The following is a 24,973-nucleotide window of genomic DNA, read 5'->3' on the forward strand; positions in this document are numbered from 1 at the left end:
TGGGATTACAGGTGTTGATCAAACTGTTCTTGATACAATCAGGTAATTCCAGAAAAATTGTCCCCTTGGGGCCTGCTTGTTAGTTGGCTGGTTTGTTTGAAAGAGGATCTCGCTCAGCTGCATGGGCTGGAGTGCAGTAGCAAGTCACAGCTCACTGCAGCCTCGACTTCCTGGGCTTAAGCGATTCTCCCACCTCAGCCTCCCATGTAGCTGCGACTACAGGTGCATGTCACCATGCCCAGCTAATTTTTATATTTGTAGTAGAAATAGGCTCTTTCTGTATTGCCCAGGCTGGTTTTGAACTCCTGGCCTCGAGAATTCCTCCCACCTTGGCCTCTCTAAGCACCAAGATGACAGGTGCGAGGGAGGCACTGCGCTGTCTTATTTAGCAATAAGCTACATTCCATTTTCAGGAGGTGACGCTGTCATCCCACTGCCAGTACAATCCAGGTAAGGATTTCACTCCATCCTCTGTGTTTTCCAAAGGAGCCGGTATTTGAAAAGGACGTGCATTCCACCAAGCATTCTTAACGACCTGGGCCTTTGGGGTCAGGTAAGTTCCAGATTTTATTATTAGTAACAAATTAAATTGACTAACAACAAAAGAAAAGTGCACCATCAATGACCCCTCAGGAACCAAAACATGCACAATCCCATTGACACAGGGACAGAGTAAACTGCTCAACAGCTGACTCTACTCCCACAGACTGAAAGCTGCAGGGTCAGGGCCGGCAGCCGCGGAGAAGGAAGCTGTCCCCGTCAACACGGTCTGGAACAATCCACAACGCTTATCAGGGGAGATACCACAGGCAAGAGGGAACGAAAACACTTCTTCTGCCAAATAGAGCTTTGGAGGGAATATCGGTTTGTCTGGGGCAGGACTGGGTCACGGGCTACACGCCTTCTCCTTGTATTCTCACGAATTCAACACCTGGTAATGCCGGGGCCGTTTCCCAAGTCACAGACTCAGACTCTGGGGTGGATAATTCCCCCATCACTGTTATCTTAAAGTAGGGTTTCTCAGCCTCAGGACTGGTGGTATTCAGAGTCGGATCTTCATCTGGGGAGGGGCCGTCTTGTACATTGCAGGGTGCTGAGCAGTATCCCTGGCCTCCACCCACTCCATGTCAGGAGCATCTCCCCCCACCCCGACGTGTGACAACCACAGATGTCCCCAGAAATATCCAGACCCACCCTAGGGTGAGAACCACTTGGTGAGCGAGACTCTTGCCAGAGCCAGAGGGAAATCATCAAAGCCGATGGGGCTGAAATGGTTAAGTTGGTCCATCTGTCTGTCTGTTCATCAGGCCCTGATTTATAGCTTTGGGGGCTCCAGCACCCCATTCCCCTGGCTTCCCCACAGTCACACTGCCATTCCCCATCATCCCCGGGACCCAAGCCCTGCGATTCCCGCTCAGCTCCCACCTAGCAGACACATGTTGAATCGAATGCCCATTCATCTGTCCAAGATTTGCTGAGGGTCTGCCATGTTTTGGAGGCGCTTCAATAGCGACAAGACATCGTGGACCTTGACCTCATGGTGCTTCCAGTCTAGCAGGCAGGCAGGCAGAATCAGAGAGAAAATTTTTCTTTAAATTTATTTTTGGGTTTTTTTGAGATGGAGTTTCACTCTTGTTGCCCAGGCTGGAGTGCAATGGCATGATCTCGGCTCACTGCAAGCTCTACCTCCCGGGTTCAAGCGATTCTCCTGCCTCAGCCTCCCAAGTAGTTGGGACTACAGGCACCCACCCCCACGTCCTGCTAATTTTTTGTATTTTTAGTAAAGACGGGGCTTCACCATGTTGGCCAGGCTGGTCTCGAACTCCTGACCTCAGGTGATCCACCAACCTCAGCCTCCCAAAGTGCTGGGATTACAGGTGTGAGCTACTGTGTCCAGCCAGAGAGAAAGTTCCATCTGCTTCTGTACCACCCTCTAGCAGCCCTCTCCAGCCCCGCCCCCTCAGTGAATTCCTACAGCACACAAGGATCCCAGGCCAGCAATTAGAGTCCTTTTTCAGCTCTGTTTAAAATGTGAGGCTTAGAATAACAGTGAAGATGCTTTAAACCACTACAGGGGGCCGGGCGCGGTGGCTCACGCCTGTAATCCCAGCACTTTGGGAGGCCGAAGTGGGCGGATCACGAGGTCAGGAGATCGAGACCATCCTGGCTAACACGGTGAAACCCTGTCTCTACTAAAAATACAAAAATTAGCTGGGCGTGGTGGAGCACGTCTGTAGTCCCAGCTACTTGGCAGGCTGAGGCAGGAGAATCGCTTGAACCCGGGAGGCGGAGGTTGCAGTGAGCCAAGATCGCACCATTGCACTCCAGCCTGGGCTACAGAGCGACTCCATCTCAAAAAAAAAAAAAAAAAACAAACAAAAAACCCTACAGGGCACTGCAGGAACCCACCCTCCATAAAGTATGCAAAGAATTATTATGCAGCATTCACTTCCCCTTTGCTTCTCTCCCCCAAGGAATGCTCAAGATAAATTCTCTCTTGCAGGTCCTTTATTTATCAAGCCAAACAGCATCTCAGAGGGATAATTTATGCAACAAAGGTTGCAAATCATTTGCACATCTTCAAAGTATTATTGTCCATAGCCCAGTGCATGAGCGCCTCTAATTGTCTACAAAGAAAAGCAACACCTTCAACAACTCACGTCCAGCAGAGAAAGACTTCAGACAGGAAAAGTCAAATCACAAGTTAAAAAGTCAGAACTGGCTGGGCACAGTGGCTCACGCCTGTCATCCCAGCCCTTTGGGAGGCTGAGGCTGGTGAGTCACGAAGTCAGGAGTTCGAGACCAGCCTGACCAACATGGTGAAACCCCATCTCTAGTAAAGATACAAAAAATTAGCCAGGCGTGGTGGTGCACGCCTGCAATCTCAGCTACGCGGGAGGGCTGAGGCAGGAGAATCGCTTGAACCCGGGAGGCAGAGGTTTCAGTGAGCAGAGATTGTGCCATTGCACTCCAGGCTAGGTGACAGGGCAAGACTTTGTCTCAAAAAAAAAAAGGAAATGGGATACAGACACTTTAACTTCCCAAAACCCAGACAGGTTGGCTGTTAGCAACCTGGGCGAGAAGTCTATGAACCAGCTTCACAATAAATGCCTTTTAAGGATGGCTATGTGATGAAGGTGTTTTCTCTTTGTGATTAAACGCCTTACTCATCTGAAGGGGGAAATTCCATTTAAGAAGTGAACCAGGTATGAGAAGAGACATTTTCCCCAGAGGGAGGCAATGACCTCTTTCCTCCCTGGGGCTCGGAACTTGTTTCTTCACACGTCCTCCCAGAACTCTAGTTCTTATTCCCCCCTGTGCTGGCCCTCCATAAACATTTGCTGAACAAATAAACCCATGATGGAAGGCAAGAGAAACTTCAAGACAAGACGGCTAGGCCGCCGACTGCCTAACTGGAGGGAACCAGATGTTAGCATTAAAGTTAAAAGTTAAAAGCCTTCCCAAGGTCACCAAGCGAGGTCTCTCTAACCTGGCCTGAGGTCCTCATTCTTCTCTACCCTGTTTACCCAGGATGGAAAAATGACATTCTCTGCTGGTGGGCTGGTTGTCCACGTGAGAGATTTCAACACAGCGTTTGGAGGTTTTAAACCTCTATCATCGCTGCAGCCCAAGGAACAAAATCAGGGGCCAGGTATGCATTAGGGGATTTGCAAATGCTGTCTTATTTCATCCACTCAATGACCATAGAGGAAGATATGATGATGACTTATCCCTCTTTTTATAGATGAGGAAACAGAGATGTTCAGTAGTTCCAAAGTTCCTTCCCTTCCCTTTTTTTCTTCCCTCCCTCCCTCCTCCCTCCCCTCCCTCCCTTTCCTTCCTTCCCTCCCTCCTTCCTTCCTTCTTCCCTCCGTCCCCACCTCCTTCCTTCCTTCCTTGTTCCCTCCCTTTTTTTTCCTTCCTTCCTTCCCCTCTCCCTCCCTCCTTTCTTCCTTCCTTCTTCCCTGTCTTCCCAGCTTCTTTCTTTCTTCAGGGTCTGCTTCTGTTGCCCAGGCTGGAGTGCAGTGGTGCAATCATAGCTCACTACAGCCTCGACCCCTGGGCTCAATGGATCTTCCTGCCTCAGCCTCCCGAGTAGCTGGGGCTACAGGCACACGCCACTGTGCCTGGCTAAATTTTTATTTTTTGTAGACAAAGGTCATACAGCAAAGAAGTGGAAGAACTAGGATTCGAACCCAGGACCATGGGCTCTGAGTCTGTGCTTGTTCATGGAAGCACCAGCCAGTTCAGACACTCCCAGGCCTTGCCCAGATGGTCAAATGCTTCAAACAAGGACACCAGGGAAGGTCACTGTTCCTCGTATTTATGCCCCTTGTGTCACTGTCTATATCTGGGGTTAAGAATCACTCCAAAAACACCACAATGATCTCCCAGACTCTCAATTCCAGCAGAGCAGACAGCCGTCCCCACCACCACCCCCTCCACCCACTCAGTCCTCTCTCGGTTCCACTTCAGGATGACTCGAAAGACAGAAAAAGACTCAAAGCAAAATGCCTAAAGCTTGGAAACGCCAGCAGCCCCTGAAAACTACCGAGCTTCCTTTTCCTGTATTTATTTATTTATTTATTTATTTTTTTGAGATGGAGTCTTGCTCTGTCACCCAGGCTGGAGTGCAGTGGCATGATCTTGGCTCACTGCAACCTTCGCCTCCCGGGTTCAAGTGATTCTCCTGCCTCAGTCTCCCGAGTAGCTTGAATTACAGGCGCATGCCACCACGCCTGGCTAATTTTTGTAATTTTTAGTAGAGACAGGGTTTTACCATGTTGGCCTGGCTGGTCTCAAACTCCTGACCTCAGGTGATCCACTCACCTTGGCCTCCCAAAGTGCTGGGATTACAGGCGTGAGCCACCACACCCAACCCTGAGTCTCCTTTTCTGATAACATCCTTCATTTCTGCTTCCTTCTGCTTCCTTCTCTGAACATATTCGAATCACAAAGCCCCAGCTCTGTTGGGAAATTCCGACGGGAATTGAAACAGGTTCCTAATCTCATGGTCTCACCTGAGGGAAAAGTGGCTAAGAAGATGGAAGCAGGCTGGGCACGGTGGCTCACGCCTATAATCCCAGCACTTTGGGAGGCCAAGGTGAGTGGACCACCTGAGGTCAGGAGTTCTAGATCAGCCTGACCAACATGGTGAAACCCCGTCTCTACTAAAAGTACAAAAAATTAGCCAGGTGTGGTGGCGTGCACCTGTAATCCCAGCTACTTGGGAGGCTGAGTCAAGAGAATTGCTTAAACCCAGGAGGCAGAGGTTGCAGTGAGCTGAGATCGTGCCATTGCACTCCAGCCTGGGCAAGAGAGCAAGACTCTGTCTCAAAGACAAAAAGAAGATGGATGTAACTGACTGTGCCTCTGAAATCCTAAACAGAATATTACATGGCGTCTTGGACCTCCGTGATGTTATGCGGTACAAATGAGACGGCCCCTGAACTCCCACTGTGTACCAGGAGTTGGGGAGAGGTGCATAGTAGCAGGACAGACATCCAGAGGGTAACAGGGAACCACGGGGGATGTCCCCGGGCTCTGGGTTCGAAAATGCAGGCCCCTTGTATCCAGGGGGTCTGGGAAGGAACAAATTGCCACGGTGTAATGGAGCCACTGCAGGTGTCCCCAGAAGCCACAGCAAGGCCATCAGGATGCTGGGGCCCCGTATCCACCTCTCACCAAGGCCCTGCTCTGACTCCTGTTGGCCCCTGGCTAGAGACCCGCCCAGAGGGGGTTTCCAGGCCCAGGTGCTGGGTTTCTCACCGTATCCATTTCCCATTGCTGCTGTCACAAACGCCCACAAATGTAAAACGACATACATTTATTATTTTCTCCTGCATCGGGATCTTACTCTGTTGCCTAGGCTGGAGTGCAATGGTGCAATCATGGCTCACTGCAGCCTCGAACTCCTGGGCTCAAGCAATCCTCCCACCTCAACCTCCCAAGTAGCTGGGAATATAGATGTGTGCCACCAAGCCCAGCTAATTTTTCTTCTTCTTCTTCTTCTTTTTTTTTTTTTTGTAGAGATGGGGTCTTGCTATGTTGCCCACACTGGTCTCAAACTCCTAGCCTCAAGAAATCGTCCCACCTTGGCCTCCCAAAGTACTGGCATTACAGGCATGAACCATCATGGCCTGCCTATTTTCTTACAGTTTTGGTGGTGAAAAGCCCAAAATGAGTCTTACAGGGCTAAAATCAAGATGTTACAAAGGTTGGTTCCTTCTGGAGGCTCCAGAGAGAATCCAGCTTTTAAGGCAGCTCCTTTTTCTTGGCCGTAGCATTTCAATCTCTTGCCTCCCTCTTTCCTTGAAAAGGATCCCTGCGATGGCATTTGGTGCACCAGATAATCTAGGATCATCCCCCCGTCTCAAGATCCTCAACTTAATCACATCTGCAAAGAGCCTTGTGCCAAGTGAGGTACCAAATTCACAGGTGACAGGGATTACGATGTGGGCATCTCTGGGGGAAGGGAGAGGCATCATTCAACCGACCACATTCACCCTTTCTGGTATTTTCCTCTCCCAGCCACAGAATGTTTCGGTAGCAGTCATCGAGTGATATCTTTTTTCTTTTTTTCTTTTTTGAGACGGAGTCTCGCTCTGTCTGCCAGGCTGGAGTGCAGTGGGCACGATCTTGGCTCACCGCAAGCTCCGCCTCCCAGGTTCATGCCATTCTCCTGCCTCAGCCTCCCAAGTAGGTGGGACTACAGGAGCCCGCCACCACACCTGGCTAATTTTTTGTATTTTTAGTAGAGACGGGGTTTCACCGTGTTAGCCAGGATGGTCTCGATCTCCTGACCTCGTGATCCACCCGCCTTGGCCTCCCAAAGTGCTGGGATTACAGGCGTAAGCCACCGCACCCGGCCTTCTTTTTTTTCTTTTGTAAAAACAAAACAGAAAAGATGCAAGGGTGACACAGAAAGTTCTCATGTACCCATCACTCAGTAAAGAGATAAATTCCCCAGGAATGGAACAGAATGTGGCACCCAAGAATCTGCTGCTCAGGAGAGTCCCCAGAGCTGTCTCCACTGTGGGAGGATGGGATGGTGACGGAGATAGAAGAGTCCCTGCCTTGTGGCGGGGGAAGAGAGATTGCAAAACGGTGAGCAAAGAAATAAACACGTTCCACCTCCATAGGAAAACACAGGGGGAAGGGGAGAAATTCTGACCCCCCGGGGGTCACGTGGAAGTGTCTTGGAGACATTTCTGGTTGTTGCAACCAGTGTGGGGTGGGAGTGCTACTGGTATCTAGTGGGGGGAGGCCAGGGATGCTAGTAAACACCCTAAAATGCCCAGGACAGCTGCCACCAGAGAGATAATCCAGCTCCAAATGTCCTCAGTACTGTGGTTGAATAGGCAGGGAGTGAGGAAATTTCATCTAAGAGAAATCAAATCAGTTGCCTAATGTCACCCTGCTCAAAAGGGGCAGACCTGGGGTTAACAACCATGGGTTTTTCTCAGAGATTCTGCACACTGAACTTCTTGCCTCTTGTTTTTTGTTTTGTTGGTTTTTTCTGTTTGTTTGTTTTGTTGTTTTTTTCTGTTTGTTTGTTTCTTTGTTTTTATGAAACGAAGTCTCGCTCTGTTGCCCAGGCTGGAGTGCAGTGGCATGATCTCGGCTCACTGCAACCTCTGCCTCCTGGGTTTAAGTGATTCTCCTGCCTCAGCCACCCAAGTCCCTGGGATCAGAGGCACCCGCTGCCACATCTGGTTAATTTTTTGTATATTTTTTGTACAGATGGGGTTTCGCCATGTTGGCCAGGCTGGTCTCCAACTCCTGACCCCAGGTGATCCACCTGCCTTGGCCTCCCAAAGTGCTGAGATTACAGGTGTGAGATTAAGGCCCAGCCCTTGCCTGTTGTTTGAGCAAAGATAATCTGAGGAAATCGTATGAGGAAGTATCACAGGGAAAAGCATGTAGGTAGAGGGAACAGCAAGTGCCGAGGCTTACAGGTGGCAGGAAGGCAGCCAGTGAGCTCCAGCCAAGGGTCCCATGTCAGAGAAGTAGGTAACTGACTTGTTGGTGGCAGCAAAGAAGAAGGCATGAACCATTCGCTCTTCTGTGCAGCAGTCACTCTGTGTGTGGTTTTCAGACATATTTAAAGTGGATTTAAAAAACAAACAAACAAAAAGGACTTGCAATCCAACATCTGAGTAGGGGCTTTATTAGGCTTCCCAGGACCTGGGGAAATTACCCAGGATTCAGGATAAAACTGCAGGGGTGTCTGTTGCAGGGACCAGATATATTACTCTCTCCTGACCACAACCTTTCCAACCTCCACACTGGCCTCTGAAGCTCCGGGCTCCAGTTACTTTCACTGACCACCCCCGGGGCTGGAAGCCATGGAGGGGAGCTCTGCAGCTCTTTGGGCTTCACATGTTGCTCTGATTGTCATGCCTTGGATTAGCAAGACCTCTTTCAGTTTGTGAGAATAGAAAGCTCAGTTATACAGAGAGAAAGAAGAGAGAGAGAGAGAGAAAAGGGAGGGAGGGAAGGAAGGAAGGAGGGAGGGAGGGAACGAAGGAAAGAAGGAAGGAAGGAAGGGAGGGAGGGAGGGAAGGGGGAGAGAGAAGGAAGGAAGGAAGGGAGGGAAGAGAGAGAGAAGGAAGGAAGGGAGGGAGGGAAGGAGGGAGGGAAAGGAAAAGAAAGGAAAGGAAGGAGGGAAGGAGGGAAGGAAGGGAAAGAAAGAAAATGAAAAAAAAGAAAAGAACGATTGCTGGCTCATTTAACTAACAAGTCATAGGACAAGGACACTTTCAGGTACAGCTAGATCCAGGTGTCAAATGATGTCATGGGGACCCCATCTCTCTCCCTTTCCTTTTCGCAGTCCTGCTTCCTTCTATGGTGTCAGAAGTCTGAGACACGTGGTCTCTACATGGTGGCACCTGGATTATAGCTTCACAGCAAGGAAGATTTAGCAAGGAAAAATCTCTCTATCACTCCCACTAAAGTCCCAGAACTGAATCTTATGGAACCTTCTGGGGTCACATGCCCACCCCTGAACCAATCATGGAGGCTGGAGGAATTAAGAAAGCTGATTGGCCCAGTCTGAGTCATGTGCCTTCCCCTGAGCCAATCATAAGAGTCTGAAGGAATAAAGGAAGCTGGCTCTGGGAATAGAGTCCACACAATGAGGTCTGAGTGGCTTCCCAAGCAAAATATGATTCTAACCCATGCAAAATCTGGTTCTATCTCCAGGAATGCTGAGTAGGCAAATCTGAATGCCTCCTCTCCAGAGATGAGTAATCTTGTGTTTGCCTCCTTTTCAAGTTGGTGGCAAAAGTGAATCCTATTTTTTTGTTTTATTTTATTTTTGAGATGGAGTCTCGCTCTGTCGCCCAGCCTGGAGTGCAGTGGTGCGATCTTGGCTCACTGCAACCTCCGCCTCCCGGGTTCAAACGAGTCTCCTGCCTCAGTTTCCCGAGGAGCTGGGGCTACAGGCGCGCCACCACGCCTGGCTAATTTTTGTATTTTAAGTAGAGACGGGGTTTCGCCATGTTGGCCAGGCTGGTCTCGAACTCCTGACCTCAGGTGATCCTCCCGCCTTGGCCTCCTAAAGTGCTGGAATTACAAGTGTGAGCCACTGTGCCCGGCCACGGATCCTATTTTTACAACTTGTGCCAACTCTAGGTAGGTTCGGTCTTGTTATGCCCATTCGAAAAACTGGGACTAACAGAGCATATGTTATGCAGTGACCAAGAAAATTAAATAAAATAATAGATATAAAACACTTAGCACAGGGTCTAGTATTTGGTAAGTCTGCCACACATCGGCAATTATTATTCCTATATTTTAAATTTTACTGGTAACATAATAGTATGATTTGAATATTTGTCCCCTCCAAAACTCATGTTGAAATGTAATTCCTCATGTGGCAGCATTGAGAGGTGGGGCCTTTCAGAGGTGATTAAAAGGGCTGTGTCCTCATAAGTGGATTAATCCATTCATGGATTAATGGTTTATCATAGGAGTGGGACTGGTGGTTTTATAAGAAGAGGAAGAGAGACCTGAGCTGACACTCTCAGCTCCCTCGCCATGTGATGCCCTGCTCCCTGTCAGGACTCTGCAGAGTCCCCACCGGCAAGAAGGTCTTCACCAGGCCGAGCGCAGTGGCTCACGCCTGTAATCCCAGCACTTTGGGAGGCTGAGGCGGGCGGATCACTTGAGGTGAGGAGTTTGAGACTAACCTGGCCAACGTGGCGAGACCCCGTTTCTACCAAAAACACAAAAATTAACCGGCTGTGGTGTTGCGCACCTGTAATCCCAGCTACTCGGGAGGCTGAAGTGGGAGAATCTCTTGAACCCAGGAGGCAGAGGTTGCAGTGAGCTGAGATTGTGCCACTGCACTCGAGCCTGGGCAATAGAGTGAGACTCTGTCAAAAAAAAGGAGGAGGAGGAGGAGGAGGAGGAGGAAAGAAGAAGAAGAAGAAGAAGGCTGGGCGCAGTGGCCACGCCTGTAATCCCAGCACTTTGGGAGGCCGAGGCGGGCGGATCACCTGAGGTCAGGAGTTCGAGACCAGCCTGGCCAGCACGGCGAAACCCCGTCCCTACTAAAAACACAAAAATGAGCCGGTTGTGGTGGCACACGTCTGTAATCCCAGCTACTTGGGACGCTGAGGCAGGAGAATCGCTTGAACCTGAGAGGCGGAGGTTGCAGTGAGCCGAGATCACACCACTGCACTCCAGCCTGGGCTACAGAGTGAGATTCCATCTCAGAAAAAAAAAAAAAGAGATCCCTCCTTTCAGGATAAAGTTTGCATGGACTCTGGCATCACACTGGGTTTCAACTTTTCCTTTCTAGCTATGTCCCCTTCTCTAGGCAATTCAGCTACTCCAGGCCCCCCGTCCACTTACCAGGACACAGGAATCAGAGTAACACCCATCTGGCAGGGCTGTTGTCGGGATCAAGTACAATTATACAGCAGGCTTGGGGTTCTGAAGCAGCTGGGAAGATCCACAAGCCACGATATATTGAGCACCAACTGTTTACAGCTATCAAGCATGTACTATCCACCAGGCACATGATCCTCCTAGCAATTTTTTCATTTTTCTGCACAGCACCATTTGGGAAAGGCTAAGTCAGAGTCTGGGGTGGGTTGAAAGCTAGAAGACACTCTGAGCCTATGTCCTCGGTAAAAAAAAAAAAAAAAAAAATCAGGAGTGACCCATGCTCAGCTGATAGCATTAACGGGGAAGGAAAGAGGGCGACAGAGACTCTTCCCCAACATCTATCTAGCCCAGCTTGGCACTTTGGACCGCAGCCTGTATGGAAATTCCTGGCCTCTGATGACCTCAAGCTGTCTTGGTCTTTAATCCTGACTCTGAACCTGTTTCCTTACTCAGATAGAGGTCTGACTTTTGACATGTGTCCCGTACACCCAGCACCCATCTGGCTTCCTTATTTTTTTGTTTTTTTAAGAGACAGGGTCTTGCTCTGTTGTCCTGGCTGGTGTTCAGTGGTGTGACCGTAGCTCACTGCAGCATCAAACTCCTGCGGTCAAGCAATCCTCCTGCTTCAGCCTCTGGAGTAGCTGGGACTACAGCCATGGGCCACCACAGCTGGCTAATTTTTTTATTTGTTTAGAGACAGGGTCTTGCTACATTGCCCAGGTTGGTCTTGAATCCCTGGCCTCAAGTGATCCTCCCACCTCGGCCTCCCAAAGTGCTGGGATTACAGGCATGAGCCACGGTGTCCAGCCTGGCTTCCCTATTTGGCAGTGATTATGTCCACTCCTTGCTCTTGGTGGAGGAAACAGCTGTGTCCTTGGGGAGGGCCAGGCTGTAGGTAACTACGCTTCCTTAGAGGAAGCTATAGGTATAAGGAAGTTTGCTTACTCCAGGGACAGGGAGGCCAGCTCCCTTGCAAAAAAGGCAAAGAGGGAGGCCAGTGAAAAACTGGCTAAAACTGTCTGGGCACTGTGGCTCATGCCTGTAATGCCAGCACTTTGGGAGACTAAGGAGGGCGGATCACCTGAGGTCAGGAGTTTGAGACCAGCCTGGCCAGCATGGCAAAACACCATCTCTACTAACAATACAAAAATTAGCCCAGTGTGGTGGCGTGCACCTGTAATCCCAGCTACTCGGGAGGCTGAGGCAGGAGAATTGCTTGAACCTGGGAGGCAGAGGTTGCAGTGAGCTGAGACTGCGCCACTGCACTCCAGCGTGGGTGACAGAGTGAGACTCTGTCTCAAAGACAAACAAACAAAAAAAACCAACTGGCTAAAACTAAAGAGGTTACCATGTGCCACTCACTACACTTTACATGTCACAAGCATTAATTACCTCATTTGATTTTCACCCAAACCAAGAAATGGAAGTATCTAGAGAAAGAAGCCCAGCATAAAGACACAAGGGAGCATTTTTGGAGGTAACCATTGACAGAAATGAGTTAAAGAAAATTCAACTGGTGTCCAGGCTCTGGTGTAAAATTCTGCTTTGGGGTGAAACGCAGGGTTACCTGGGCACACTGTGATGGTCCTGGCTAACCAGTAGCAGGTGGGCTTTTGCAGAGATAATCCAGGGCCCTGTGATGAGTTGGTCACCCTAGTGACCCAATTTTGGCCTCCAGATATTGGCTTCTGGCCAATTCTAGGAGGATCAGGAAGCCAAATTTAGCACAGAATGTGCTGCTTCTTCATTGAACTCCTATTCACCCTTCAAAACCCAGTACAAAAGTTCCCTTCCTCTGTAAGGCAGAGTATAGCAAGAAAAGCTAGGGTTCTGAAGCCAGAGAGACTGTGGGTTCAAATCCTAGCTCTGTGAAAAGATTGTTGTGAGGACCATGTGCCTGGGAGACAATACATGCTCAATAACTCTATACAGCTGGTGCTCAGTAGTGACTTATGGATATTCCCAGGTGCTTCAAAGCCCTCAACCTGATGGATATTACTCTATTAAACCCAAAATTTCCCATCTTCCCTCCTCTAAGCCACCAGAATAGACTGGAACAAAAAAAAATTTTTTTTTTTTTTGAGACCAGTCTCGCTCTGCCACCCAGGCTGGAGTGCAGTGGCATGATCTCGGCTCACTGCAACCTCTCCCTCTTGGGTTCAAGCCGTTCTCCCACCTCAGCCTCCAGTAGCTGGGACTACAGGCGTACACCACCACACCCAGCTAATTTTTGTATTTTTAGTAGAGACGGGGTTTCACCACGTTGGCCAGGATGGTCTCGATCTCTTGACCTCGTGATCCGCCTGCCTCAGCCTCCCAAAGTGCTGGGATTACAGGAGTGAGCTACCACACCAGGCCAATTTTTTTTTTTTTTTTTTTAAAGACAAAGTCTTGTGACATGCTCAAACCAGCTCATGCAAATCTCCGTTTCAGTCTTTCTCCCTCAACCTCAAGCCCTGACACCAAGCAGGGCTGTTTTCCAATTGGCTTTTCCTCTGCCAAGAATTTCCCCAGAGCACAAACAGAGGCGTGCAGCGAAGTAAACACGGGAAGCTCTGAAAACCCATTCATGGGCAACTCAAAGGTGTCGAGACATCAGGGTGTGTGGCCGAGCTTTCCGCCATGGGGGCAGCGAGCCTCCACGAAGCCCAGGCGACTTGCCGACGGCCCCACTCCAGGTGACCAAGCCACATCTCGACCAGAGGAAGGAGAACATACAAAGAAAGACACTGTCTCTGCCGGAGGGCGATGGTCCAGGCAGTGCACCCTGGGCGAAGGGGCCAAGAAGCCGTAAGATGTGCGTCCCGAGGAAATGCACCGTGGTTATAAATACAGCAAAGAGTGTTTGGATGAAGCTGGTGTCTGAAAGTGGAGACAGTCCTGGCTAACCAATAGCAGGTGGGCTTTTGCAGAGATAATCCAGGGCCCTTTTCACAGAGACCTAGGGCTGTAAGGAAGTCCCCCAAACGCCCAATAAATATCCAGGTTCTTGTCTCTAAATTAGCTGGCTGAAGAAAACTTGGTCCAAACTGCATCAGAGGTGGGGGTGGGGGAACAGAGGAAAGAAAAGGGGATGAGAGAGAGACAGACAGACAGACAGACAGACAGAGACAGAGAGGGGAGTATCCCATTAAGGCAGCAGGGCAGCAGCAAAGAGGAGAGAGGAGGGGAGAGGGGAGGTTGTGGCCACATGCTGTGTAACACTTAGAGTTTCCTATGCACCCAGCACTATTCCAATTATTAACCATTTATTTCCCCCAACAATCCTAGATGTTCCCATTTTACAGAGGAGAAGACTGAGGCACAGAGAGGTTCAGTAACCTGCCCATGGTCACACAGCTATTGAGCGGCCGAGCCACAAGAAGACACTTGCTCCATCAATGTTACTGTGGGCCAGTTGCCGTTATAGGTGTAAGATGATTCCTCAGGGAGAAACGCTAATGTTCCCCTTCCCCGACACTTTCTCCAGATCAGCTTAGGGGTGCTTGAGTGCCTGACCCGCCACCCCCGCCCCACCACCAAGCCAAAATGCTTGAGTGACACTCTCTGATTCTCCAGTGTACCATGTCACCAATTAGGTGTTTCAAGAGGGGCTTCCAAGAGGGAAGGACCTTTCTGTTTTCTTCCCTGTGGCTATGTCCTGACTCCCCAGCCCAGCACTTGAGTAATACATAAACCCACCTTCATTAAATGACTATCATCATATTCCTCCAGATTCCTTGGTCCCCCAAGTCTAGGGACGTGGTTTTTGTCGGTAGCATGGCAGTGTCAAACCACAGAGCCACGAGGCTGATGATGGGCTCTTGGTTTCCATTTCCCCCCCCTCAAAAAAAGAGCAGAGAATAATTGCAGAGTGCCCCTCACCCCCATTCCAGCACCCTGGTCCAGGGGTCCTCAAATGGAGGCGATTCTGCCCACCAGGAGACACCTGGCAGTGTCTGGAGACATTTGTGTTTGCCATGCCTCGGGGGCGGCGCTCCAGGCATGGAATGGGTGGAAGCCAGGGATGCTGCTAGCACCCTCAGTGCCCAGGACGGCCCCACCCCAGAGAACAATCCAGCCCCAGTATCCGCAGGCCCCAGGTGGAGAAACCCCGTCCCGGAATGAGAAGCCCCTCTCCTCCACCACATCAAAGCCAAGATGACAACGTCTCTGAGTTTGACACAAGGTTAGGGGGAAGTCTCATTTTTCAAATGGCTGGCTGTAACACTAAAAAAGGAAAATTAAAAATGTCTGAGGATCGGCCTAGTGTGGTGCCTCACGCCTGTAATCCCAGCACTTTGGGAGGCCGAGGTGGGAGGATCACGAGGTCAAGAGATCGAGACCATCCTGGCCAACATGGTGAAACCACATCTCTACTAAAAATACAAAAAAAAATTAGCTGGGCATGGTGGCGTGTGCCTGTAGTCCCAGCTACTCAGGAGGCTGAGGCAGGAGAATGGTTTGAACCTAGGAGGTGGAGGTTGCAGTGAGCCAAGATCGCACCACTGCACTCCAGCCTGGCAACAGAGTGAGACTCCGTCTCAAGGGAAAAAAAAAAAAAAAAAAAACAACTCTAAGTACCAACTGCAGTGGCTCCTGCCTGTAATCCCAGCAATTTGGGAGGCCGAGGCAGGAGAGTTGCTTGAGCCTGAGAGGTCAAGACCATCCCTGGCAACATAGTGAGACCCCATCTCTACAAAAAATATATAAAAATTAGCCAGGTGCGATGGTGTACACCTGTGGTCCCAGCTACTCGGGAAGCTGAAGTGGGAGGATTGCTTGAGCCCAAGAGGTCAAGGCTACAGTAAGCCATGATCACGCCACTGCACACCAGCCTGGGCAACAGAGCCAGACCCTGTTTCCAAAAAAAAAAAAAAAATGCCTGAAGGAGGAGGTGAATCCTAGAAACAGCCCAATTTCATCTCCATATACCCCTACTCCAAACAGGTTTCCAAATTGCAAAAATGGCTGATAAAAAAAATTCTTTAAGCTGATGTAAAAACTAATGCCCTCCTCCTCCTGCCAATTTTGCTACTCTTGAGCAAGATCTCAGCAGCTCCACTTGGATGCTGGAAATATATGCCAGAGGAGACTTATGATGCTAATTTCCTTTAGTAAACAGTTCAAATCTTGTCTTGGACACCAATGAAATAAGAAAAGCTAGCCACAGGCTGTGTGGAATTCCTTCCTCTTAACACTAAGCATCAGGCATTCCATGACTTTTGCTCTTGGGATGGCAAACATGAATGTTTCTAGAACACTGAGTTTTCCAGCATATACCTTTTCTGGTTATTTTCAATAGGTTTGGTGTGAAAAATTAACGAATTCACTATTTGTTGCTGGACAGTCCCTCTGGAACAAAGAACTGTGTGTCAAATACCAGCTGAATAATCAAGCAAACATTTGCATTCTTTTTTTTTTTTTAAAGACAGGGTCTGGCTCTGTTGCCCAGGCTGGAGTGCAGTGGCGTGATCACAGCTCACCGCAGCCTCAACCTCCTGAGCTCAAGCAATCCTCTCAACTCAGCCTCTCAAGTAGCTGGGACTACAGGCATGCACTACCACACCTGGTTAATTTTTGTATTTTTTGTAGAGATGGGGTTTCACCAAGTTGCCCAGGCTGGTCTCAAACTTCTGGACTCAAGCGATCCGCTTGCCTCAGTCTCCCCAAATGCTGCAAATACAGGCATGAGCCACTGCACCCGGTCAACATTTGCATTCTCGTCGAAAGATCACGTGCTTTTTCCAAAGCATGTGAGAGTTTTGCATCGACTCCAGCCAGCTTAGACCTAATGTGGGTCCTCCCCTTTCACCAAGAGGACCCGGCTATTGCAGATGCCCTTGCAAGTTACAAAACATGTTCTCCATCAAGCCACACAGGGTTATGGATCGGAAAGGCAGCCCACCCTGATGAAAACCACAGTCGCGGTACAGATTGTTTTGTTTTTGTTTTTGTTTTTCCAGAACACTGATATGTATCCTCAATGGTTAACATTGTGTCCTAAAAGGTGTTTTTCTGTTTCTTAACATACCAGAAACAAGATGGTCTGAGACCGCGACCTTCACACTAGGGTCATATTTCAACACAGAAACCAGGGTAGCATCACCCAGAAAAAAAAAAGGGAGGGGAGGTAAATCAGACTGTCCCAAATCTAGGGCCTCTCTCAGGGCACAAGAAACAGCCCCAGAGGGCCCCCATGGGTCCTGCTCCCTAAGGCCATTTGTCCCTCTTCACTGTGGTACAGGGTGGTTCTGAAACGCACCCTAACTTTAGTGATGACACAGGGTCCGGCAAGTATCCAGACCTATAGTCCAGCAGACTTTCCATGAAGACCTGCCCTAAAATGAATATCGACACTTGGCCAGAAGCAACAAAATAACATTCCACTCTGCTGGAAAATTGAGGCGGGGGCTTAAAGGCTTATTTTAACAGCTTAACAGCTTAGCAAAATAAATCTGCTGTCATTATACACAGACAAATGTCGTTTATGTCTCTTGCATCTATGAGACAATCAAGATTTCATGATCACACCCCATTTACTCAGTGAGGCTAAAGACAGGAAGGTCAAGAGTATTAACAATTATATAATTATCCTCTGCAGTAAAACAATTGAGGCATTCCACTCAAATCAGAAATGAGACTGGGCTGACCATATTCAGCTGCGTCACTGAACACTGTTCTGGAAGTTCCTGCCATAACAAGGTTAACAGCAATAACTGGTCTAATTATTGGCAAAAGGCAAGAAGTCATCATTATCTGCAGATGCTGCAATTATAGAGTTGGAAAATTGAAGGGAATCAATTGCAGGGCTTTTAGAACTAGTAAGCATTTAATAAGGTAGCAGTAAGTAAAGAAAACACAATCCCTGTCCCCTATGCTACAAAATAATCACTTTTAATACTTCAAAACATCTCCCTTATATTAGATGATAGACACACGGATAGATGGAGAGATGAATGGACACATGGATGGGTGGATGAATGGGTGGGTGGAGGGATGGATGAATGAATAAGTGGATGTATGCATGGGTGGATAGATGGATGAGAAGATTGCTGGGTGAGTGGTTGGAAGGGATGGAGGGACAGGTGTGTGGATTGTTGGCAGAGTAGACAGAAGGATGGATGGATGGATGGATGGATGGACGTCTGGGTGGGTGGATGGATGGATGAATGGATGAGTGGATGTATGGATGGATGAATGGATGAGTGGATGTATGGATGGATGGGTGATTGGATGAGTGGATGGATGGATGGGTGAGTGAATGGATGAAGGGTGACTGAATGAATGGATGGGTGAGTGGATGGATGATGGATGAATGGGTGAGTGGATGAATGGATGGATGGATGGATGGATAATAGATGGTGGGTGGTGAATGGACTGGATGAATGGATAGATGGATGGATGGATGGGCAGATGAGCAAGTGGATGGAGGGATGATGGATGGATGGATGGATGGATGGATGGATAGATGGATGGATGGATGGATGGATGGATGGATGGATAGATGGATGGGCAGATGAGCAAGGGAGTGATAGATATAAAGCCAGCAATCTAAGAACAATGCTTACAAGAAGTAGACAAACTGTGTCTGAAGCAAAATCACAAAACATTTCTAAGAACAGGAAAGAACCCTTGGGAAAATGGAGAGGAAATCCATGACATAGGAGAGTACAAGTAAATACTGCCAAGGTGCTCCTTCTCTCCATCAATTTATGGACTTCACATACAATCAACCCCATAAAGGGCCTCTGGGTCTGTGTTTTCCTTTTCCTTTGCTTCCCTTTTTCTTTCTTGGAACTTAGCTACAGTTTTTAAACTTTTGGAAGCATAAACAAAGCAAGGATGCTTTTGAAAAATGAAAAAGAAGAATTACTCTGGAGGATACATTTACAGTCTTTTTTTTTTTTTTTTTTTTTTTGAGACAGGGTCTTGCTCTATTGCCCAGGCTGGAGTGCAGTGGCACAGTCATGGCTCACTGCAGCCTCGAACTCCTGGAGTCAAGTGATGCTCCCACCTCAGCCTCCCAAGTAGCTGAGACCACAAGTCAGTGCCACCATGCTCAGCTAATTTTTCTTTTTCTTTTTTTTGTTTGTTTGTTTTTGTTTTTGTAAAGATGGGGTCTTGCTGTGTTGTCCAGGCCGGCCTCAAACTCCTGGCTTCAAGGAAGTCTTCTGCCTCAACCTCCCAAAACACTGGGTTTACAGACATGAGTCAGCGTACCCGGCTCAGAACTTTTATCCATATTGTTCTCGGCCACATTCTCAGAGGCTCGCACAGCACCTGGCTCTCAGCAGATGGACAGAAGGCACAGGTCAATGAATGGGCAGCTTAGGTAGGGAAGATGGATTTGAAGGCCATGTAAGCAGTTAAAGGGATGGGACTCAGTAATTGATCAGGTGTAGCAATGAGGGAGAGAAAGATTCCCAGCTCTAGACTGAGGTCAGGCTGTGAGCTCAGAGCAAAGCCTGCAGTTCATCTTGGTAGCAGCTGGATCACTTTGAGCACAGTGCTGACCTTTCTGTCAGCCTCAACTTCTCCCTCTGCAAATTAGGAATCCTAACAGTGTCCACCTGGTGAGGTCACTGAGGCGATGACAGGATAAACCACACCAAGTGTCTAGCTCATAGCATGGTACTCCACCTTTCAGAAATATTACCTTGGCTGGGTGAGGTGCTTCATGCCTGTCATCCCAGCACTTTGGGAGGCCAAGGCAGGTGGATCACCTGAGGTCAGGAGTTCGAGACCAGCCTGGCCAACATGGTGAAACCCCATCTCGACTAAAAATACAAAAATTAGCCGGGTGTGGTGGCGGGCATCTGCAATCCCAGCTACTTGGGAGGCTGAGGCAGGGAGAATCGCTTGAATCCGAGAGGCGGAGATTGCAGTGGACTGAGATTGCACCACTGCACTCCAGCCTGGGTGACAGTGAGACTCCATCTCAAAAATAAAAAAAAAATAAAAAATATTAGCTCAAGGCCTCCTCTAGGAGAGATTAGGTCAGACTGTTCCTCCTGCAGCAAGGCCCTTTGCAGTATGGAAAAACCTCAGAGGTCTGTGCAGAAGAGAGACTATCTAGGGACAGATTTCAACAAAGCCAGTGCCAAGGAGGCGCGTGTCTACAGCGGAGCTGCGGCCTTTAGAAGCCTCCAGCCTCCCCTCCTGGCATGGACACAGGGAAGCCAACTCCCTTGGCCAGAGCCAGGAGCCAGGAGCCACACCAGCTCGCTGATTTCCAGAAACTCACAATTGCCCACTTACTCGGCACAGCCTGTGCGCCACGGAGGAAACTGGAAAGGAGGGATCTCCTTGGAACATTCTGGCAGCTCAGCAAAGAGGGGGGAAGAATTAATTTCGGATCCTGAATTTGCATCTGCAAATGCTGTTTTCGTTCAAACGCTTTGTGTTGTCTTGTTTTTGGTGGTGTTTTTTGTTTTTTTTTTTTTTTTTTTTTTTGAGATGGAGTCTCTCTCTTTCGCCCAGGCTCTAGTGCGGTGGTGTGATCTCTGCTCTCTGCAACCTCCATCTCCCAGGTTCAAGTGATTGTCCTGCCTCAGCCTCCTGAGTAGCTGGGATTACAGGTCCCCAACACCACGCCCTGCTAATTTTTGTATTTTTAGTAGAGACAGGGTTTCACCATGTTGGTCAGGCTGGTCTCGAACTGCTGACCACCAGTTATCTGCCCACCTTGGCCTCCCATTGTGCTGGGATTACAGACATGAGCCACGGCACCCGGCCCTGTGTTGTCTTGATAAGAGTTTAAAGTGACTGGATGTTGGGGCTATATATCCACCACCAACAACCTGCCATACATCCTTTTACCCTCAAATTTTTGCTCTTTGAATCCTAACTGCTCCTGGCAGTAAACCCCATCTAGGACTACCTGCCAACATACCTTAAACTTTTCTGTCTCTTTTTTTTTTTTTAATTATAGAGACAGAGTCTCACTATGTTGCCCAGGCTATTCTTGAACTCCTGAGCTCAAGCAATTCTCCCACCTCAGCCTCCCGAAGTGCTGGGATTACAGGCATAAGCCACCACACTCAGCCAAACTTCTCAAACAATACTCTTCTTAAGCCATATCTCAGGCTCTCATATGCCCTACTTTTTGCATGAGGCTAACTATTTCTTTCTCTACCCGCTTCTTCAATAAAACCAAACTAAACAATAATAATCAACAATGGTGATAGTAATCATTGTAACACCTCATTCCCGGGGGTACTGGGAATTCACTGGAAAGGGCTGGGATGAGGCAATGTCCTCCATTTTGTTTTCAGTGGTGGTTACACAGGTGCATATATTTTTTGTCAAAATTCATTGAACTCAATGCTTCAGATCTGTGCATTTTATTTTATTTTATTTATTTTGAGACAGAGTCTCCTTCTGTCACCCCGGCTGGAGTACAATGGCCTGATCTTGGCTCACTGCAACCTCCGCCTCCTGGGTTTAAGCGATTCTCCTGCCTCAGCCTCCTGAGTAGCTGGGATTACAGGAACGCACCATCACGTCTGGCTAATTTTTGTATTTTTAGTAGTTGGCCAGGCTGGTTTCAAATTCCCGACCTCAAGTGATCTGCCTGCCTCAGCCTGTCAAAGTGTTGGGATGACAGGCGTGAGCCACTGCACCCCGGCCATGTGCATTTTATTGTATGTTAAATATTTCAGTTGTTGGCCGGGCCCAGTGGCTCGCACCTGTAATCTCAGCACTTTGGGAGGCTGAGGGTGGATCACGAGGTCAGGAGATCGAGACCATCCTGGCTAACAAGATGAAACCCTGTCTCTACTTAAACTACAAAAAATCAGCCAGGCGTGGTGGCAGGCGCCTGTAGTCCCAGCTACTTGGGAGGCTGAGGCAGGAGAATGGCGTGAACCCGGGAGGCGGAGCTTGCAGTGAGCCGAGATCCCGCCACTGCACTCCAGCCTGGGCAACAGTGCAAGACTCCGTCTCAAAAAAAAAAAATTTCAGTTGCTAAACTTAATCAAAGAAATAACAGTAGCTACAATAGGTCACAATGTACAGCTGCAATATAACTACAATGCTAGCAACAATGTAACTACCATGTTTATCATTCCCGTATCCTCTTCTCTGATCCTCACAACGAGCTTGTGATACATGTTGGGTTTGGTTTTGGTGTTGATTTTTTGAGACAGTCTCCCTCTGTCACCCAGGCTAAAGTGCAGTGGCGCCACCTCGCCATCTCGGCTCACTGCAACCTCCGCTTCCTGGGTTCAAGTGATTCTCCTGCCTCAGCCTCCTGAGTAGCTGGGATTACAGGCACCAGCCACCACACCTGGCTAATTTTTGTATTTTTAATAGAGACGGGGTTTCACCATGTTGGCCAGGCTGGTCTTGGACTCCTGACCTCAGGTGATCCACCCACCTCAGCCTCCCAAAGTGCTGGGATTACAGGCGTGAGCCACCATGCCCAGCCTGTGATACCTTTTGGTTCCCATTTTACAAAAGAGGAAACAGATCCCGGAGAACTCCAGTGGACTTGCCCAGAGCCCCACGGCTACTAACAGGTTAAGCCTGGTTCCAAACCATCGTACTATGCTGTGTGGCCTGGCATGTGCTAGGTAGGGGGAGAAAGAAATGAAACATGACTGCAACTTTTCAGAAACTTCTACAAGCAAGCCCTGACCCCGAGTGCTGGGAACCACCCTATCAATGAAAGAAACCCCACACACTGCCCACTCTGCTGTCCTGCTACCCTGCACATCCTATGCCTTATACCAAGGATGGCCAATCCCTGCAACACTGGGTCACCCAGGAAAGCTAAACGTCTTTTGTTTTTTCTTTTTCTGTCTTTTTTTTTTTTTTTTTTTTTTTTTGAGACGCAGTCTCGCTGTGTTGCCCAGGCTGGAGTGCAGTGGCACGATCTCCGCTCACTGCAAGCTCCGCCCCCTGGGTTCACGCCATTCTCCTGCCTCAGCCTCCTGAGCAGCTGGGACTACAGGCGCCCGCCACCACACCCGGCTAATTTTTTTGTATTTTTAGTAGAGACAGGGTTTCACCATGTTCGCCAGGATGGTCTCGATCTCCTGATCTCGTGATGTGCCCGCATTCTGTCACATTCTGTCACACAGGCTGGAGTGGTGCAGTGGCGCAATCTCGGCTCACTGCAACCTCCACCTCCCAGGTTCAAGTGATTCTCCTGCCTCAGCCTCCCTAGTAGCTGGGACCACAGGCGCGCTATGGTGTCCAGCTAATTTTTTTTATTTTTAGTAGAGATGGGGTTTCACTATGTTGGGCAGGCTGGTCTCAAACTCCTGACCTCAAGTGATGATCCGCCCACCTCAGGCTCCCAAAGGGCTGGGATTACAGGCATCAGTCACTGCATCTGGCCCCTATTATTTTAAATGGAAATGGGGTCTTTCTTTGTTGCCCAGGCTGGAGTGTAGTGGTGCGATCATAACTCACTGCAGCCTGGAACTCCCTGGCTCAAGCAATCTTCCCGTCTCAGCCTCCTGAGTAGCTGGGACTACAGGCACATGCCACTACACCCAATTAATTTTTAAATTTTTTGTAGAGATGGGGGTCTCGCCATGTTGCCCAGGCTGGTCTTGAAGTCCTGGGCTCAAGTAATCCTCCCACCTCTGCTTCCCAATGTGCTGGGATTACAAGTGTGAGCCACACTGCCAGACCAAGATGATTTAAAGTATACAGGAGGATGTATGTAGGTTATGTACAAACACTACGCCATTTTATGTCAGGGACTGGATCCCCAGGGGGGTTTTGGAATCATTGAAGATACCAAGGCACAAGTGTACAATCTATCCAGGAGAAAATGAAAATGGGAGAATCGACAGTTCCGAGTATCAGGATCTAAGGAGGAGATTTCAAAACACTGCTTTTCATATCCTCCCATCATGAAAACAAGGGTTTTTCAAAAATCTCTTCTTAAAAATATTTCTGGGCCCGGCGCAGTGGCTCATGCCTGTAATCCCAACACTTTGGGAGGCCGAGGCGGGTGGACACGAGGTCAGGAGATCGACACCATCCTGACTAACATGATGAAACCCCATCTCTACGAAAAATACAAAAAATTAGCCAGGTGTGGTGGAGGGCACCTGTAGTCCCAGCTACTTGGGAGGCTGAGGCAGGAGAATGGCGTGAACCCGGGAGGCGGAGCTTGCAGTGAGCTGAAATTGCATCACTGCACTCCAGACTGGGCGACAGAGAAAGACTCCGTCTCAAAAAATAATAATAATAATAATAACAAAATAAAAAAAATTTCTGGAAATAGACTTTTCACAGATGGTTGTGAGGGCCAGTATTCAATCATCACTTGCAATCAGTCAGCCCTGACTTCTCCTTTGGCACTTATCTGCTTAACTACAAACTCAGTCAACAGTCTAAAAGCAAGGCAAGTTTCAACCTGCAGCTCGTCCACCCTTTGAGAACCCTGAGAAGATCATTAGACCACTGCTATGCTCTCCCCTCTCCAAACACAGTCACGAACTCCCTACATTCTTACTCCTTGTGTCTGAAGATGAATAACCACCCTAAAATTATCGCTCTCAACTCTCTCACAGGAAAGAAAATTTCCAGGACTCTAGAAAATAAGATTCTGCAAATATCCATGTGTCTGGCGCTAGAGCTTACGGAAGATTTTCAAAGCCACAGTGTGGAGCTAATTAAATTAATTACAACACCCTGTGAAAAATCAGCTGCTTTTCAAAGATACTGTTAAGAAAGTGAAAGGGGCCAGGCGCTGCAGCTCTCGCCTGTAATCCAACACTTTGGAAGGATGAGGAGGGAGATTGCTTGAGATCCCAGGGGTTCAAGACCAGCCTGGGCAAGGTAGTGAGACCTCATCTTTACAAAAATAAAATTAGCTGGGTGTAGTGATGTGTGCTTGTAATCCAAGCTACTCAGGAGGCCGAGGTGGGAGGATTACTTGAGCCCAGGAGTTCAGGGCTGCAGTGAACTCCAGCCTGGGCAACAGAGTAAGATCCTATCTCTAAAAATAATAATAACAATAATAATAATAAAGATTGACAATAAATATTAAGTGCTGCTAAGGATGTGGAGCAATTAGAACTCTCATACATTGCTGGTGGAAATATAACAGACTCCAACCACTTAGGAAAACAAT

At 48.6% G+C, this 24,973-nt stretch overlaps 1 protein-coding gene across 4 annotated transcripts in view, besides 4 other annotated features; it reads right to left on the reverse strand.

The window, feature by feature from the left end:
• INSR (insulin receptor) overlaps nucleotides 1-24,973 on the reverse strand; it is a 182,150-nt gene that overhangs the window by 98,723 nt on the left and 58,454 nt on the right. The gene's annotated exons all lie outside the window — the stretch shown is intronic.
• Nucleotides 1,579-2,125: an enhancer, noted in NCBI's record as "NANOG-H3K27ac-H3K4me1 hESC enhancer chr19:7212577-7213123 (GRCh37/hg19 assembly coordinates)". NCBI's record gives its function as "activates a minimal SCP1, AML or CMV promoter by ChIP-STARR-seq in naive and primed H9 embryonic stem cells {active_cell/tissue: H9 hESC(naive and primed)}" and the evidence as "EXISTENCE:reporter gene assay evidence [ECO:0000049][PMID:30033119]".
• Nucleotides 2,126-2,671: an enhancer, noted in NCBI's record as "NANOG-H3K4me1 hESC enhancer chr19:7213124-7213669 (GRCh37/hg19 assembly coordinates)". NCBI's record gives its function as "activates a minimal SCP1, AML or CMV promoter by ChIP-STARR-seq in primed H9 embryonic stem cells {active_cell/tissue: H9 hESC(primed)}" and the evidence as "EXISTENCE:reporter gene assay evidence [ECO:0000049][PMID:30033119]".
• Nucleotides 5,768-5,837: an enhancer, noted in NCBI's record as "active region_13874". NCBI's record gives its function as "activates an Ori minimal core promoter by ATAC-STARR-seq in GM12878 lymphoblastoid cells {active_cell/tissue: GM12878}" and the evidence as "EXISTENCE:reporter gene assay evidence [ECO:0000049][PMID:35858748]".
• Nucleotides 11,177-11,377: a silencer, noted in NCBI's record as "peak3317 fragment used in MPRA reporter construct". NCBI's record gives its function as "represses an SCP1 promoter by STARR-seq MPRAs in K562 erythroleukemia cells {active_cell/tissue: K562}" and the evidence as "EXISTENCE:reporter gene assay evidence [ECO:0000049][PMID:32103011]".

The sequence above is a fragment of the Homo sapiens genome, chromosome 19 (genome assembly GCF_000001405.40).
Source record: "Homo sapiens chromosome 19, GRCh38.p14 Primary Assembly".
Classification (NCBI taxonomy): Eukaryota; Metazoa; Chordata; class Mammalia; order Primates; family Hominidae; genus Homo; species Homo sapiens.